Below are 17458 nucleotides of genomic sequence, written 5' to 3' on the forward strand. Positions count from 1 at the left end.
TCCCCAGCCTTCACCACCAACAGCATTTGAGATGCCACTCCCCACTGGCCCTTACCCACAGCAGTGGGCTGATTATGTCTTTCCATTGGTTAATCCCAGGCAGGCGCCTTCTCATATGCTTATTTGGCATATGCTTCCCTAAACAAGTGCTAAAGGTCTTATAAGTACTCAGTGGACACCCACCTCGGCCTCCCAAAGTGCTGGGATTACAGGCATGAGCCACCGCTCCACCCTCCAATTATTTCTTAGGATGAATTCCTGGAAGTAGAGCTTATAGGTCAGTGGTAAGAACCTATCTGTAATATGCTTTTTAAATGAAACACGGGTGATAAAGCAGATTTAGGGCACATGCTAATTTGTCAGTACTTTGATGTGCTCAAAAAATTTAATCAGTTAAAACTCCAACTTTTAAAAAATAAATTCAAAGAATTTAAATAGATGTTTTTCCACATTCCATCCACTTCAAACTATGAAAACATGTAAAAAGCACAGAAATCTAACATTGATTTGGGAGACAAGACATATCTTAATTTCAAAAACATTTTTATTAGTTCTTTAATCAAATGAGAAAAAAGGTTAAGCAGAAAAAGATGAACCCACATTTGTAAAAAGCGATTTCCTCCAAATTTTGAAGAAAAAAATTTTTATTCTAAGAAATACATATTCGTTATAGAAAATTTGGAAAATACAGAGAATAGAGAAAATGTGAATTTCCCAGAATCCAACAACACACAGATAACCTTACAGTTTTACTATTTTCTATATACATGTGTATTTTTAAACAATTTGCTCTTTTCTTCTTCCCCACCCTACCTCCCAAAAAAGTGGGGAAGGCAGCTCCTGGTGGGCCACACCTGAGCCTGCCTCTCCACCATTCCATCCTCACCACCGGCCTCCCTTCCGCTGAGCTGTGGCCCATTTCCTCGCTTACGTCCCAGACTTTTCTATAAACACACAATCCACCCCATGGCATGCCAAGGCTGCTCTGCTCCCAGAACTGCCAATGCCCAGCGAAACGGGAGGACTCAAAGTCAACTGCCAAGCTACCTTCTTCACTCCAGAGCCAGGATCCAGGGAACACTGAAGATTTATCTCAGCTGACCAACAACGGAGCAGTAACTAACACCTCTTAAAATGTATATAGCACTTTAAGTTTAAAAAGTCCTCCCACACACATTTAATGTTCACAAAACCCTCAGAGGCAAACAGAACAGATATCCCCATTTAACAGAAAAGGAAACCGAGGCACAGAGGGGTTGGGTGAAAAGCAAAACTAGTGAATGGTAGAGCTTGGATGTGGAGCCATAAATTGACTCCAAGGTCAGAGCTCTTTAACATAGCCATTATTAGCAAACTATTTTTAATCTGACCACTGGAAATTAAGAGTCAGAAGGATCTTTAATAAATCCTATAATCTAGTAGCCTTTTAGTAGTCACATGTAAGGAACATAAGGCCCGGAAAAACTAGATGACTGACCAAAGTCGCCAGCTAGTAAGTGACGAAGTAGGTCTGAAGGCACAATCTTCAGACTCCCAGGCCAGTGCTCACTCCAGTCGTCCCTAGAGAGAGAGAGATGGTCTGTAATAGGTGTTCTCTCATCCGGTGTCTTCTGCTTAGCCAAATGTCAATCAGGAATTAAAATCCTAAAAGTGCAGAATGTTAGAGCCAGAAAGGACCCTAAGGACCACTCAGGCAACGCCCTGGCTTCACAGATGAGGAATGTGAATCCAAGCCCCTGATGTTCCATTCTGTGTATCTTGCACCCATCATGTTACTTCGCTTCCCAACAGAGTCAGAAATTAAATCTGGCCAAAGACGTTTACTTCCTTCTTTGACACTCAGTGTCTCTTTGACACTCAGTATGAGGCAGGCCACAGATCAGCAAAGCGAAAGTGAAATTAAACAGGATTTGACATTCAGAAGATACTTGGTTGGTAACAGATTTACCCACCATGACTGTATCACAAAATAACCAACTGCTGAGTTCCAAGGAGGCTCCCCGACTCTGCCTCTGTCCTCCACCTCCCCTCCCCAGCGAGCCAGAGAGGGTCTATTGAAATGTGTCCCTGGTTTAGGAAAGGGTGCCCACGGTCCTCCAGAAGTCACATGTCCCTGCAATTTGTGAAAATGTAGCAATATTCTGGCCAAAAGCTTCTACTCCGCGAGTCAACCAGGAGCACCTCCCCAGGCTGTCCCTCCTCCTAAGGTCACTATCTCGGCACCATCGAAATCCGCACGTGACTGTCCATCACCTTGATTCTTCGGCAGTTCCTTGGTACCATGGCTAGCCTTATCTCTCCAGTGAGACGGGAAGCCCTTTGAGGGAAAGGGACCACTTCCTCTACTGAACAGCTACTACGTGCCAGACAATGTGCTTGGCAGGGTAAGACATGGCTCCTACCTTCAAGAAACTTACAGAAGGATAAGAAAAACCATGTGCAAAAAAGTAAGCACAGTCACGTAGGTATAAACAGGAAGCCAAGGAGCCCAGAAGAGGGGCATATACTGGCGGGGTGGGATAGCTGCCCGGTCTTAAAAGGCAAAAGAAGGCGGGAGGGCAAGCCAGGCAGGAAGGCCAGCGTCAAGGAGAGAAGCGGCTTGGTTTACAGGAGATAAAAACAGTTCGAAGTTGCTGGAACATCAAGCGCAAGGCAGGGAGCGGTGGGAGTTCAGGCTGGAGCGGTGGGGCCTAGCAAGGTGGCCACAGGCACAAGCCCGCGTAATTCCCAGAGGTTGGGTACCGGAGGGCCGCTTACGCAATTCGCAAGTGAACGAATTTGGGCGCCCATGGCGAGGCTCTGTCAGTGACGGTCGGTGGTGGCGCCGCCAGCCAGCCCCCCGCCCCCGTGCACCTGTGCGCCTTCGCAGCTGCCAAAGCAAACGCAGGCTCCCCGACTTCGCCAGATTTTCAAAGCGGGCTGCCAGCCCCGGGCCACTGCCACGGCCGCCCCGGGCCCCCACCCCCGGACCCCTCGTTTATGCGCTCGGATTACAGCGCCTGTTGACGCACTGTAGCGGCCGCCTGCGCGCCAGCGGGGCCCGGCGGTTTTCTCTGCAGTCGCCACCGGGTTTTCCCGAAGAAGAGTCCCTCCCGACCTGGGGCTGGGGAGGCTGGGGGCGGTGAAGGCTGCTTCGGCCCGGCTGGCCCCAGGCGGGGCACGGCGGCGGGGAAGGGGCCGGGGCCGCTGGGGCTTGCGCGAGGCGCAGTACGGGAATCCGTCCCCCCCGGGACAGCGCGGCGGGAAACAAACAGGACGAGCTCCCTCCTCTCCGTGCCCGCGCCCTCAGGCGCCAGGGGTGGCAACGGCCTCAGGGGTCGAGGGAGGCGGCTCGGGCTCCCCGCGCTGCCAGGCTCAGGCTTGGGCTGGGGCTGGGGCCGGGGCCGCGGCAGGCACCCGCGGCGGGGGCGCAAGCGGCGCCCGGGAGCGGCTTGGGGCAGGGGTGCGCTCGGCCGGGGCGTTTGGTGGCCCCGGGCCCGTGCACCGGCGCCCAGACCGCTGTCATTACCTGGCCAGTGTAGTTTTCCCGGAGCCCGGGAGGCCTCGCAGGAGGTAGAGGTGTTTCCTAAAGCTGTGGCGGCGAGGAGGTGTCCCCCGCGGGGGCGGCCGGGGCGGCCGCTGCCGCTGCTGCTGCTGCTGGGGCTGGAGGCTCAGCCTCCCAAAAGATTGAAGGAAACTGTCCTCCATGGGCAGGAGGGCTGGCTGCGAGAGCCCCGGGTTCCCTTTACTGAAGTCACGGTCTTGGCCAAAGCTGTTGTTTTTGTGACTCTCCGGCCATGTGATGGATAGAGGGGCGGGCGCTGGGAGCCCAGCCCCTCCTTTCCACCCGCCGGAACCGTGCTGCGTGGGAGGGGGCGTCCCTACCTGGAAAGCTGGGGACGCTGGGAGACTCACAGCCCGGAAAACAAGGGTGACGCACCCACTCCCACCTCGACCCCCGCTCCGCCTCCTGGTGCCCTTTGCCCTGAGCAGTGGAGGGGAGGGGCCCCGTCTAGTAGGTCTCTGGGACACTTCCCCGGCCTGGAAGCCAGGCCTCCTGCCACAGCCCTCCCCAACCCCAGCCCCGACCTGCCTAGACCCTGAAAGTGAAATCATTTTAGCTGATGATTAATGAGCTGCCCGGCATTGTAAATGGCAACAGTAAAGGCCATTGTCTCCCCCGATTTGTGAGCACCAACATCTGGCTGGCGTCCCAAGGGCTACCACCACTCTCCCAGGGCTTGTATCTTTTCTTATTTCATCTTTCTTTAGCAGCCTGCCAAAAATATTATTAGAAAGCTTTGTTGCCGCTACATAACTTTAAATCTCTCCTTCCTCAGAAAAAGCACCCATAAAACTCAGATTGATTTATGAACAGTAGCATAAGGGCTACCGCCCAGGTACCTGCCCTGTTGCCGCCTGAGAAGTGGGGGCTTCTTGGAGAACTCTTTCAGATCCCCGGGGAAAGTGGCAGAGTCTACCGAAACCATTTATAGAGAAGTATCCAGACTGAAGTTCTCAGTTCCAGGAACTAGGGAGTACCCATTGGTTGATCACCACAGTGACTCTCCAACAGTTCACCCTCAAGAGCGTGACAGAGTGATCCTGTTTTCTGAACCAAAATTCACCATGCCTGCCTGAAAGAAACAACATTCAAAACTGACACCATCCTGGGAAATGCAGAATATATGGTGGCTTTGGCTATAATAATTATTGTAAAGTAATAAATTCTATTTCTGGCAGCTAAGGTACTAAAATTGTGAAAAGCAACTATGAAAAAAGTGATTTCCTTCTAAAACAAAATCCAGAGATTTCACAGTTAGCTTTTAGGAAGGGACTATCCAAGTGGGGAGGGGCTCTGTGCTGAGAACTTCCCCTTCCCCTTGGGATTTCCCTCTAGGGATGGGATAGGGCGGAGTGGGAGATGAGCTGCTCTCCCTTGAAAATCCATTCCCAGCGTGGAGGAAGAATACTTTCCTCATTCTTCTCAGCACTGCTAAGAAACAATGGAATTTCAAAGACCTCTAAATATTAGGAGGGAACCCATAAGGAACAGAAAATATACATAAATCGTAAAAATAGTGACACAATCTCTGTATCCTATCATAATTTGCCCAGCTTCACATGCTACCTTTTTCATTTTAACCTGCACTGGCTAATATGGGGGCCACTGGTCACATGTGGCTAGTGAGCACTTGGAATGTGGCTACTGCAAACACGCTGTGCCCGGGCCCGGTGCAGTGGCTCACGCCTGTAGTCCCAGCACTTTGGGAGGCCAAGGCAGGAGGATCACTTGAGGCTAGGAGTTTGAGACCAGCCTGGGCAACATAGTGAGACCCTGTATCTACCAAAAATTCAAAAATTAGCCAGGTTGTGGTGGTGTGTGCCTGTAGTCCTAGCTCCTTGGGGGGCTGAAGTGGGAGGATCACTTGAGCCAGCAAGTTCAAGACTGCAGTGAGCTATGATGGTACCACTGTACTCGAGCCTGGACAACAGAGCAAGACCCTGTCTCCTAAAAAACATAAAGTAAAATTTTAAAAATACACAGTGAATTTTGAAGATTCAGTATGAAAAAAGATATTAAAAATTTTTTTATATTGGTTATATGTTGAAATGGTGTGCTGGGTATATTGGGTTAATATATTATTAGAATTAATTTCATTTATTTTTATCTTCCATTGTGGCTCCTAGAGAGTTTAAGTTACATACGTAGCTGGCATTATATTCCTACTGGACAGGGCTGCATAAGCATCCGTCCACTTCCATTTCCCTCTGTTAAGAGGTCCCAGGCAGCAGCTGCAGGAAGACAACGCAGCTTTGTGGGTAGGGGTTTCAGCACAGGGCTTGTGGCAAGTAGAGCTATCTAACAGATGCCAGGAAACGTGAGTGTGTTCCTTAGGAGAGGTGGCTGAGCTCAGAGCTTTGGAAATCCTTTCCCCTACAAGGAGATAGAGAAGAGAGAAGACAGCTGAGGAAGGGGTCCTGAGGACACCAGCATTTAAGGACTGTGCCCTCAAGTGGATCTAGCAAAGGAGAGGACGATTGAATGACCAACAATTAAACAGAACACTGAAAGATGCAGGGAAGCCCAGGGAGGGAGTTTCAAGGAGGATCACATGGTCAGCAGCACCTGGAGACGATCTTACACACTGTCCTTTCACTTTTCTTTAGTTGACATTTAACTAGTCAACAAGTTCTATTTTTCCCAATGTATTCCTCAAAACCACAGTTTAAAGTAAACTGTTTGGGTATCTGTTTCCTCTCACTAGAGGAAGTGAGAGGGCATGGATAGTGTCTTATTTATCTTTGTCAGCCCAGGCTGTAACACAATATCAGCCTGATATTCAGAAGGTGCTTGATAATTGTATATGAACCTAAACTATTTTCTTAAAAGATAATCCTGAGTTTGGGATTTACTAAAAATGAAGACTGAACAGGCCGGGTGCGGTGGCTCACGCCTGTAATCCCAGCACTTCGGGAGGCCGAGGCAGGCAGATCACCTGAGGTCGGGAGTTCGAGACCAGCCTGACCAACATGGAGAAACCCTGTCTCTACTAAAAATACAAAGTTAGCCAGGCGTGGTGGCATATGCCTGTAATCCCAGCTACTCAGAAGGCTGAGGCAGGAGAATTGCTTGAACTCGGGAGGCAGAGGTTGTGGTGAACCGAGATCGCGCTATTGCACTACAGCCTGGGTAACAAGAGCGAAACTCCATCTCAAAAATAAACAAACAAATAAATAAATAAATAAAAATAAGGCTGAACAAGATAGTGATAATGTAAGGGAGTAACATAAACAGCCAGCACGATCTCACTTTGCTGCACTAGAAACCATTACTGTCATGGACATAAAGAAAATAATCTTATAAACACCATTTTTGGCGAATGAAGAAACATTGAAATTTTTCTCTAACTATCACTGTTTAACAAGATGTGGAAAAGTAAGAAGGTGTGAAGGAAGAGCTTTTGGAAACTGGAGAGCAAAAGGCCAAGTGTTAATTGATTCGGCCAAAAAAAAAAAAAATCCTCTGATTTATAGACAGCCAAGAAACAACACAAATTACCCAGCATAAACCCTAAATCTCAGAAACTGGAAGATTTGGAGGTGGGGCTCTACACCAGAAGGGCAGTTGCAAGTCTGTTTAACAAACAAATGTCCATACCCTAAGCAGCTGCCTGCCCGTCCTCAGGCCTAGAGGTTTGCTCCTTCGAGAAGATTAGACAGAAGATCTGGGAGAAGTAGGGTAAGATAAGACCCGGGGCTCTCTTTCTGCAAATGGGGATTAAGTTGATGTCTACATGTTGAATAGTGCGTAGTCACTCCTTAATTTATATTTTGTAAATATGAATTTTCATATTTTAAGCTTATTAAGTACAACTAAACTAAAACAGAATAAAAAATAATATTAGTAACTTCTAGTATAGTACAAGTCCCACAATCCCTAACCAAAATTGTAGAGGTCAGATATACTTCAGAATTCAGAAAGTGTTTGTTGTTTAAAGGTAATAGTACTGTATATTATCCTATATTCCCAGTGGGGTGTGGCGCAGACCTCTGTAGTTAAACACATTAATATGTTTGCAATGAAATATATGAATATACTTTATACATTCCAAGTGGGATAAATAAGGAGTAAAATTAATTGCCTACCTTTTGGGGTCAGGTATTTTTTTTTTCTTGGCTCACTGCAATCTCTGCCTCCCATGCTCAAGCGATCATCCCCGCCTCAGCTTCCTGAGTAGCTGGGACTACAGGCGCGTGCCACCACACCTGGCTAATTTTTGTATTTTTTGTAAAGATGGGGTTTCACCATGCTGCCCAGACTGGTCTCAAACTCCTGGGCTCAAGTGATCCTCCTGCCTCAGCCTCCCAAAGCGCTGGGATTACAGGCATGAGCCACGGTGCCCAGCTTGTATTTGGGTCAGGTTTGGCTGCAAACTTAGTTTTAATGTCAAACTTATTTAAAAAACAGAAACAGTGGTTGCCAGGGGCTGAGGGGAAGGGGGAAGGGGGAAGGAGGAAGGGGGAAGGGGGAAAGGGGAATGGGTCATTGTTTAATGGGTATAGAATTGCAGTTTTGCAAGATGAAAAGAGTTCCAGAGATGGATGCTAGTGATGGTAGCATGAATGTATTTATAACACACTTAAAAGTGGTTAAGATGGTAAATTTTATATTGGTGTATTTTACCACAATGAATACATTTGGAAAAATAACTATTGATTTTCAGAGCTTTTTGGATTTCAGAATTCTAGAAATGGGATCTCAGACCAATACTTGGATATAGGGGCTAACCTTTTAATCCTAATGCAGTTTTAAAAATAAGGTACTCAAGTTTTCTGTGCCTTACTTTCTTCTATCAAACAAAGTATGGCATACATCTTCAAATTAGACAATAAAATGTTCAAATTGTTACCTCCTCTGTTGAGTTTTTTTATTATTCAGATAACTTATCAAGAATGGTTGAACAGATTATCCAAACTAATTTTGGTATCCAACGGGTACGTCTCTGGAAAGAATCCCTTGGGTTGGCACTGAGCACTCTGACTTTTCTCCGTGATCATGATCTTCAGCAGTACCATGAAGACAGCAGAACTCAACTACAAGCAAACACAAGCCCAGACAAGACCAGAAAACATGTGACATGAACAGTTTGTTTTCAGGTTCCCAGCCTTTACTTCCTGAGTTATGCCACTCCCCTGGCATCCAGGACTTCACAGCTGTCCCCACAGTCTACACTGCTTAGTCCTGCCTCATTCAAGAGCCTGTTCCCTGACATTTCCCAACTCCTTGTCCTTCAGCTGAAACTTGTTCTAGATCCCATTCCCTGAGGATCCAGCTATGTACATTACAAAAAATTAAAAATAAATGCACTAATTCATGCAAATGTGTTAACATGTTTACTGGGCCAATATGTTCCTCTCCTAAAGAACACAATTTCTATTTTGCCAGAGAGCATTTCAAAGGCAATGTTTTGGCTGGGCACAATGGCTCACGCCTGTAATCCCAGCATTTTGGGAGGCCGAGGTGGGCAGATCACCTGAGGTCAGGAGTTCAAGACCAGCCTGGCCAACATGGCAAAACCCCGTCTCTAAAATAATAAAAATACAAAAATTAGCTGGGTGTTGTGGCGGGCTGTAATCCCAGCTATTCAGGAGGCTGAGGTAGGAGAATCGCTTGAACCTGGGAGGTGGAGGTTGCAGTGAGCCACTGTACTCCAGCCTGGGCGACAGAGCAAGATTCCATCTCAAAATAATAATAATAATAAAAAAGGCTGGGCACGGTGGCTCATGCCTGTAATCCCAGCGCTTTGGGAGGCCAAGGCAGGTGAATCACGAGGTTAGGAGTTTCAGACCAGCCTAGCCAACATGGTGAAACCCCGTCTCTACTAAAAATACAAAAAAAAAAATTAGCTGGGCATGGTGGCGGGCGCCTGTAATTCCAGCTACTTGGGAGGCTGAGGTGGAGAATCGCTTGAACCCAGGAAGGCAGAGACTGCAGTGAGCTGAGATTGCACCACTGCACTCCAGCCTGGGCAACAAGAGCAAGACCGTGTCTCAAAAAAAAAAAAAAAAAAAGAAAAGAAAAGAAAAAAAGAAAGGCAATGCTTTAATCCAAGGCAGTATTTAGGGGAAGGGAATTCACTCTTATTATGAATCTATTATTTTTCAGGCACTAGGCTCCATACTTTGCACAGTTTTTTGTGTTTTGTTTTGTTTGTAGAGATGGAGTCTTGCTCTGTCATCCAGGCTGGAGTGCAGTGGTGCGATCTCAGCTCACTGCAACCTCCGCCTCCCGGGTTCAAACAATTCTCCTGCCTCAGCCTCCCAAGTAGCTTGGATTACAGGTGTGTGCCACCACATTCAGCTAATTTTCTTTTTTTCTTTTTTTTTTTTTTGTATTTTAGTAGAGACAGGGTTTCACCGTGTTGCCCAGGCTGGTCTCGAACTCCTGAGCTCGGGCAATCTGCCAGCCTCAGCCTCCCAAAGTGCTAGGATTACAGGCATGAGCCACCGTGCCCGGCCAGTTTTTTCATTTAATAACTTTGCAAAGTTATTTCATTTAATCCTCATTTAAAAGATAAAAATTTTACAAATTAAGAAACTGAGACTCTGAGAAGGGTCCTCTGTTTAGGGTCACACACAGCTAGTCAGGAGGAGCCTTAAGATGGGGACCCATCCTCTTCCTAGCACCCTGCCCCACTGCCGTAAAGGAGTGCCATGACATTAAACACCCTGGCAACCAGCAGGGAGAATATTTGTAAATGGGCACCGACTTGTGGCTCCCAGAGCCAACCAGATTCTCCTGCTATTTCCCTGTTTCTAAATTTCTGTTTACCCCTTGAGACAGACTGGTCAGTACTTAATGCCAAACATAAAACAGGATGCCCTTTCTCAATAAAATAGTAAAAAAATCTGCACATAGCTATAGCACTCATAAAATTCCCTAAAAAGAAAAAAATAATAATTAAGGGCAGAATGCTCTGTGAGAAGACCCGACAGTTTAGGATACATGTGGGAGATCATCATGAAAATCAAAATTGTGGTTGCAAAATGTCCTTGACACAAATCTACCAATTTTAGCAGACAGAAAAGACTCCTGAAATTGGCCACAGGAAAATATATCCATGCTTGCTGCATGCTGCTTGTACTGGTGTCTCCTCATGTTGGGGCCATCTAGGGGAACTTCACTCACTATAATCTAACTTCAGTCAGAGGTAGGCTAGAGGCTCACTCAGCCAAGTCCTTGCCCAACATGCTATGGTGTTAAATCAAATCCCTACAACATAAATTCCATGAGGGCAGGGGTGTTTTTACTGCTATATCTTCAGTGTCTGACATGAGCACCTCAATAAACATTTGCTGAATAATTTTTTTTTGAGGTGGGGTCTCGCTCTGTCACCCAGGCTGGAGTGCAGTGGGGCGATCTCAGCTCACCACAACCTCTGCCTCCCAGGTTCAAGCATTTCTCTTGCCTCAGCCTCCCAAGTAGCTGGGATTACAGGCACCTGCCACCACACCTGGCTAATTTTTGTATTTTTAGTAGAAACGGGGTTTTGCCATGTTGGCTAGGCTGGTCTCGAACTCCTGACTTCAGGTGAACTGCCTGCCTCGGCCTCCCAAAGTGCTGGGAGTATAGGCGTGAGCCACCACACCTGGCCACATTTGCTGAATAATTGAATGAATGTCTTCACTTCCTTCCTCTGGAATTCCTCATTGTCTCTCATCTCCTCCTGTACCATATTTATCCCACATTTTTCTAGTGGCCCCTGCAAATCTCTAAACTCTTCTCCCAAATCTTCAGTTCTTCCTCTTCTTTCAGGGGAAGCAGGATTAAAACAAACAAAAAACATTTTTACAGGGTATACATGTCTTTCTAGTTGAGAAATGGAAACTAGAATATTCTTAGAAATAAGTTAAAATGAAAAAACGTATGGTAAATGCATAGTGCATTCAATTCTTATCAAATGCAGACATATATGCACTGAAATCGTAGCAGCTGTGTTTATTTCATAATTTAGGCATTTGAAAAAAAATGCAATGTGTTTATTTTAATGTCAGCTTGATAAGTTTAAAATATAACATGAGTTTGTCTATATGTTTTACCTCTTTTCCTAGAGAATCTAATATTTAAGTAGAACCTACACCCCTAATTCCCAGCCCTCATCACATACCAACCCAAGGGGGGAAATGTCTCATAAATTGTGTGTTGATAGAATGTTATAAAATATGTTCTAACCAATAAAGTGGGAAAATAAATTTGGGAGCAACAATCTAAGCTTTGCTGTATTTCAAAAAAGATCTACACTTAAAGGAAATAAAAACATCACATGTATAATAGCACACAAGGTTGCTATGGTAACAAACTTCATTTTTTATATTTTACTCTCCAGTCGTGCTATAATACATATGAGCTATTACAAACAAATAATGTCAAGATTAACTATTTTATGATCAAACAGAGGTCTCTAGAATAAGTCATACTTACAGTTCAAGGAATTTTCATTTTTCAACCAATCTTCTTCTGTCTTTTCTAGAAATTATAATTAAAATACATAAAATATTAATATTTGGCATTGGAGTTAAGTTTGCACTGTCATTTTACTCATGTAGGGACACTCCTAAAATGACAAAAGAAATATAACAGTGGCTCACGCCTGTAATCCCAGCACTTTGGGAGGCCGAGGTGGGTGGATCACCTGAGGTCAGGAGTTTGAGAACAGCGTGGCCAACATGGCAAAACCCTGTCTCTACTAAAAATACAAAAATTAGCTGGGTATGGTGGTGCATGCCTGTAGTCCCAGCTACTTGGGAGGCTGAGGCAGGAGAATCACCTGAACCTGGGAGTCAGAAGTTGTAGCGAGCTGAGATCACGCCACTGCACTCCAGCCTGGCTGAGAGAGTGTGACTGTCAAAAAAAAAAAAAAAAAAAAAAAAAGAAAGGAAGAAAGAAAGAAAGAAAGAAAACACCTATAAATATCTAATATCTATCTATTTATTTATTTATTTATTTATTTATTTATTTAGAGACAGAGTTTTGCTCTGTCGCCCAGGATGGAGTGCAGTGGCACAATGTTGGCTCACTGCAACCTTTGCCTCCTGGGCTCAAGTGATTCTCCTGCCTCAGCCTCCCAAGTAGCTGTGATTACAGGCAAGTGCCACCACACACGGCTAATTTTTTTGTGTTTTTAGTAGAGACAGGGTTTCACTATGTTGGCCAGGCTGGTCTCGAACTCCTGACCTCAAGTGATCCACCCAACTTGGCCTCCCAAAATGCTGGGATTATAGGCATGAGCCACCACGCCTGGCCACAAATGTCAATTTAAACATTTAAAATATTGCTCTGTGTGTGTGTATGTGTGTTTTAAGTGGCAATAATGTCTCCATGGGGAATAAGGAGAAACAAGAAGATGAGGAAAAATGTATTTGGTTTTATTAAATGGACAGACGAAATGAGTCTACTTTGCCCATAGAGGTGTTTATGAGAACAGTTAAGAAATACCTACTGTCCTGAACTATTAGTTCTAGAATGATTCACTAAATTTTGATTTTACTATTCACTTCAAAATGTACCCATTAGCATTGCCTCTGGACACATTTAAATAATAACCAACTAATGTGAACAGAACCCCAGCCACCCCCACTAGGTTAGGTGAAGTACTGGCTTTTCCAGATTTTCTATCATCCTTCTAACCTTCCAAGCCAGTCCTCCTCCAGCTACCTGGAAAATGAACAGCCCTCAGAATAGTTACGTCTGTCACTGTGGACCACAGATCACAACAATAGGAAGGTGCTTCCAAGTCAAGTAACTACACATCTAATTTGTAGCTGTTACTCTATCATAATGGGTAAGACTGAGGGCCGGACAGGAGAAAAGATGTAATGAAGAATAAAGGACTCACCTACAGTGGGCACCTTAGTCATCCCCAGTGAGTCCTTATACCTGTATATTCCTCCACAAAGTTAGGGAATTAAATGTAACCTTCTCTTTGGACTAATTGAAAGAAAACATGCCTATATTATCCACTCATCCCCATCCATATATATCCTTTTTCTAATTTAAGGTATGTAGCACTTCTCTCAAGTTTGATAAATTTTATTTTTTATTCCATAATTTAAAAAATTTTATTGACATAATAATTGTACATATTTATGAGCACAATGTATTTTGATACGTGTGTACATTGTGTAATGATCAAATCATGGTAATCAGCATACATATGACTTCAAACATTTATTATTTCTTTGTAGTCAGAACATTTAAAATCCTCTCCTCTAGCTATTTTGAAATATATAATGCATTATTGTTAACTATAGTTAACTATAATCACCCTGCTGTGCAATGAACACCATAGCTTGTACAATGGAATAATATTCAGCCATAAAAAAGAATGAAATCCTGTCATTTGCAACAACGTGGATGAACCTGGAAGAAATTATGTTAATTGAAATAAGCCAGACACAGAAAAATATATACTGCATGATTTCACTCATATATGAAATCTAAAAAGTTAATCTCATAGAAGTAGAGAATAGAACAGTGGTTTCTATTTGAAAGCCATAAAAATATACCTCCACTGGCCAGGTGTGGTGGCACATGCCTGTAATCCCAGCTACTAGGGAGGCTGAGGCAGGAGAATTACTTGAACCCAGGAGGTGGAGGTTGTGGTGAGCCAAGATCACGCCATTGCACTCCAGCCTGGGCAACAAGAATGAAACTCCGTCTCAAACAACAACAACAACAAAAATACATACACACACACACACACACATATATACCTCCACTGACATCTTCCATTGCAAGTAGATCATCTTTAGTGTCTTCCAGTCAAGGGGAACCACATAGTCATCAGGCAACAAGGATTCTGTGAAAGAAAGAAAGACCTAATCTCATCTCTAATGTCACACAGATTTTTGCCCTAACTGTGAAGACATGCAAACCTGATCTCTAATTCACCATACCATTAAAAGTCTGGTTTTAAAGATATTTCGGTGATGTCTAAAGCTGGAGTTTGTCTCAGATCTCAATTAGTAAACACTATCCAGACTCCAATACTAGGATTCATTTGAGTTCTTGCCTTATTTGCAAGGCCACTGACCATGAGCTTGGCTCGTCCAATCTAGCCAAACAAATCGCTTCGTAGCCTCTACTTATGGTTTTCTCTTTATCTCTTTCAAGTACATGCCATTTCCAAATATGAAATTCTTTCCCTCTGCTTTTCTTTCAAGCTACATTCTTTTTCCCTTGTACAAACACGGCTTATAATGCACTTCCACATGTAAGGCATTCCAGAGAAAACTATAACCTCAAATTCTCTTCTACAATCCTTTTAGCACTATTAATGTCACTCATAAAATATTCATAAGCTTATCATTTATATTTTCTATATGCACTAATTTTATTTTATGTTAGTCTTGTCTCCCAATTTAGAAGGTAAGCTAGTTGATGAATGAGGTCTATTTCCTTTAAAAAGCTTTCTGAAGTTTAATTAACGGATGCTTGATCATTGTTGATTATGATGACATCATGCACTCAAGGTAAGCGAGGCATAGAATCTTTTCACAATAGTGTCTTGATGCATTCTGGTGCCCCTCTAAGGCAGTGATTGCTAATCTTTTTGCATCATAGACCCCTCTGAGGAGCCGATTAAATCTATGGACTTCTCCCCAAAAAAATGGCACAAAATAACCCCCAAAATTTTACATACAATTTCAGAATATGGACCTTGGACTACGATCTCAGAACTAAAATGTCTTCAGTTATCACTTAAAGCTCCCGAAAGCAAAAGCATTTACTTTGAAAAAAATTGGTATGTTTCTTTGGTGTTAGTAGGCGGGTAGAAAAATTACAACAAATAGGCTGGGCGTGGTGGCTCATGCCTGTAATCCCAGCACTTTGGGAGGCCGAGGTGGGTGGATCATGAGGTCAGGAGTTGGAGACCAGCTCGGCCAGGATGGTGAAACCCCATCTCTATTAAGAATCCAAAAAAAAAAAAAAAAAAAATTAGCCGGGCGCAGTGGCGGGCACCTGTAATCCCACCTACTTGGGAAGCTGAGGCAGGAGAATTGCTTGAACCCGGGAGGCAGAGGTTGCAGTGAGCCAAGATCTCACCACTGCACTCTAGCCTGGGTGGCAGAGCGAGACTCCGTCTCAAAAAAAAAAAAAAAGAAAAGGAAAAAGAAAAATTACAGCAAATAGTCAAGATGTAATTATTCACAAAGTTTACAAATATGATAAATATGATGCCAGAGCCCCAAAAGCAGGTTGATAATTATGACTCCTTGGCCCTAGGACTTAGTCAATCTTTGGTCTCACCTGTGGGACCAAATTTATCTGGAACATCAGAAGCTTAGGAGCCAAGTTAAAAAACTCAGGATGACAAGCTTTGAGACGAAATGGGTCCCCAAGGAACGCTGAGAGGTATAGAACAACAGAAGATACAGGAGAACTGCAAAAATTGGAGCTTTGGCCTCTTGAGTCTTACAGCTTCTGTCCCCAAGGAACAGCACTAGAAAATATCAGCTATTGAGTTACAGATAAGGAAAAGCTGGGATAAATATCATAAAGACATTATCTTATATATGCTTATGATTTAAGACAAAATTTTTTTTTTGAAAGAGTCTTACTCTATCACCCAGGCTGGAGTGCAGTGGCGCGATCTCAGTTCACTGCAACCTCCGCCTCCCAGGTTCAAGCAATTATCCTGCCTCAGCCTCCTAACTAGGTTTACAGGCATGTGCCACAATTCCTGGCTAATTTTTGTATTTTTAGTAGAGACAGGGTTTCACCATGTTGGCCAGGCTGGTCTCGAACTCCTCACCTCAGGTGATCCACCTGCCTCAGCCTCCCAAAGTGCTGGGATTACAGGCATGAGCCACTGTGGCCGGCCCAAAAAGAAATTTAGTTGGAATATTAAAAAATCATATTTTTGCTCGTTTTATTCACATGTAGATTTTTTCATTTCCAAAAATAACAATCTTTTTTTTTTTTTTTTGACAGGGAGTCTCGCTCAGTCACCCAGGCTGGGAGTGCAGTGGTGTGATCTCGGCTCACTGCGACCTCTGCCTCCCAGGCAGGTTCAAGTGGTTCTCCTGCCTCAGCCTCCTAAGTAGCTAGGATTACAGGCACACGCCACCACGCCCGGCTAATTTTTGTATTTTTAGTAGAGGCATGTTTTCGTCATGTTAGCCAGGCTGGTCTCAAACTCCTGACCTCAAGCAATCATCCCACCTCAGCATCCCAAAGTGCTAGGATTACAGGTGTGAGCCACCACATCCAGCCCCAAAATAACAACCTTAAGAGCCTGAAGGAAGCTTTTAAGTCAACTAGTCAGGCTTCCACCTCATCCCTTCAGTATCCTTTTCAGACTGCCTTTAAAAAGTAAATTCAATTATTTCAGATATCTTTCCTTCATGTAATCTTTGCAATCTGCCATTTACTAATGTTGTATTTGGGAGCTATAATAGTGAATGAGAAAGGAAAGAGCCACGTGTCAAACAAAATAAAGGTAGAAAGTAGAGTTTCTTTTCTGGTGGCCTGGTGGTTCAGGCCTGTAATCCCAGCACTTTGGGAGGCTGAGGCGGGTAGATCACCTGAGGTCAGGAGTTGGAGACCAACCTGGCCAACATGGTGAAACCCTGTCTCTACTAATAATACAAAAATTAGCTGGGTATGGTGGCGGATGCCTGTAATCCCAGCTACTCAGGAGGCTGAGGCAGGAGAATTGCTTGAACCCGGGAAGTGGAGGTTGCAGTGAGCCGAGATCACACCATTGCACTCCAGCCTGGGCGACAAGAGCGAAACTCCCTCTCAAAAACATAAATAAATAAATAAATAAATAAATAAATAAATAAATAAATAAATATAAAAAAAGAAAGTAGAAAGGTTTGGCCGGGCGCGGTGGCTCACGCCTGTAATCCCAGCACTTTGGGAGGCCGAGGCGGGCGGATCACGAGGTCAGGAGATCAAGACCATCCTGGC

At 44.4% G+C, this 17458-nt stretch overlaps 2 protein-coding genes across 56 annotated transcripts in view, besides 4 other annotated features; both read right to left on the reverse strand.

Annotated features, from left to right (window-relative positions):
* The window catches only part of N4BP2L1 (NEDD4 binding protein 2 like 1), a 28893-nt gene extending 23673 nt beyond the window's left edge, over window positions 1-5220 (reverse strand). For 25 of the 27 annotated variants that reach the window (NR_148479.2, NR_148477.2, NR_148476.2 and 22 more), the window contains exon 1: window positions 3509-3735. Coding sequence is in view for 14 of the 27 variants with exons in the window: in NM_001353636.2 (NP_001340565.1) it covers window positions 3509-3687 (179 nt within the window). In the remaining 13 variants the exon portion in view is untranslated. Of the gene's footprint in view, window positions 1-526; window positions 1561-3508; window positions 3736-4383 lie in introns of those variants that run through there. The other 2 variants (NM_001353637.2, XM_011535303.3) reach the window with 2 other exon arrangements.
* Window positions 1703-1752: an enhancer, noted in NCBI's record as "active region_7557". NCBI's record gives its function as "activates an Ori minimal core promoter by ATAC-STARR-seq in GM12878 lymphoblastoid cells {active_cell/tissue: GM12878}" and the evidence as "EXISTENCE:reporter gene assay evidence [ECO:0000049][PMID:35858748]".
* Window positions 1813-2042: an enhancer, noted in NCBI's record as "active region_7558". NCBI's record gives its function as "activates an Ori minimal core promoter by ATAC-STARR-seq in GM12878 lymphoblastoid cells {active_cell/tissue: GM12878}" and the evidence as "EXISTENCE:reporter gene assay evidence [ECO:0000049][PMID:35858748]".
* Window positions 2813-3682: a silencer, noted in NCBI's record as "silent region_5248". NCBI's record gives its function as "represses an Ori minimal core promoter by ATAC-STARR-seq in GM12878 lymphoblastoid cells {active_cell/tissue: GM12878}" and the evidence as "EXISTENCE:reporter gene assay evidence [ECO:0000049][PMID:35858748]".
* Window positions 4083-4162: an enhancer, noted in NCBI's record as "active region_7559". NCBI's record gives its function as "activates an Ori minimal core promoter by ATAC-STARR-seq in GM12878 lymphoblastoid cells {active_cell/tissue: GM12878}" and the evidence as "EXISTENCE:reporter gene assay evidence [ECO:0000049][PMID:35858748]".
* A 2869-nt stretch (window positions 5221-8089) lies between the features above and the next one.
* The window catches only part of N4BP2L2 (NEDD4 binding protein 2 like 2), a 106384-nt gene continuing 97015 nt past the window's right edge, over window positions 8090-17458 (reverse strand). For 28 of the 29 annotated variants that reach the window (NR_170379.1, NR_170389.1, NR_170385.1 and 25 more), the window contains 3 exons: window positions 14257-14342; window positions 11966-12010; window positions 8090-8577 (listed from right to left, as the gene is read on the reverse strand). Coding sequence is in view for 17 of the 29 variants with exons in the window: in NM_001278432.2 (NP_001265361.1) it covers window positions 11987-12010; window positions 14257-14342 (110 nt within the window). In the remaining 12 variants the exon portion in view is untranslated. Of the gene's footprint in view, window positions 8578-11965; window positions 12011-14049; window positions 14177-14256; window positions 14343-17458 lie in introns of all 29 variants that reach the window. The other variant, NR_170388.1, reaches the window with a different exon arrangement.

The sequence above is a fragment of the Homo sapiens genome, chromosome 13 (assembly GCF_000001405.40).
Source record: "Homo sapiens chromosome 13, GRCh38.p14 Primary Assembly".
In the NCBI taxonomy this organism is placed as follows: Eukaryota; Metazoa; Chordata; class Mammalia; order Primates; family Hominidae; genus Homo; species Homo sapiens.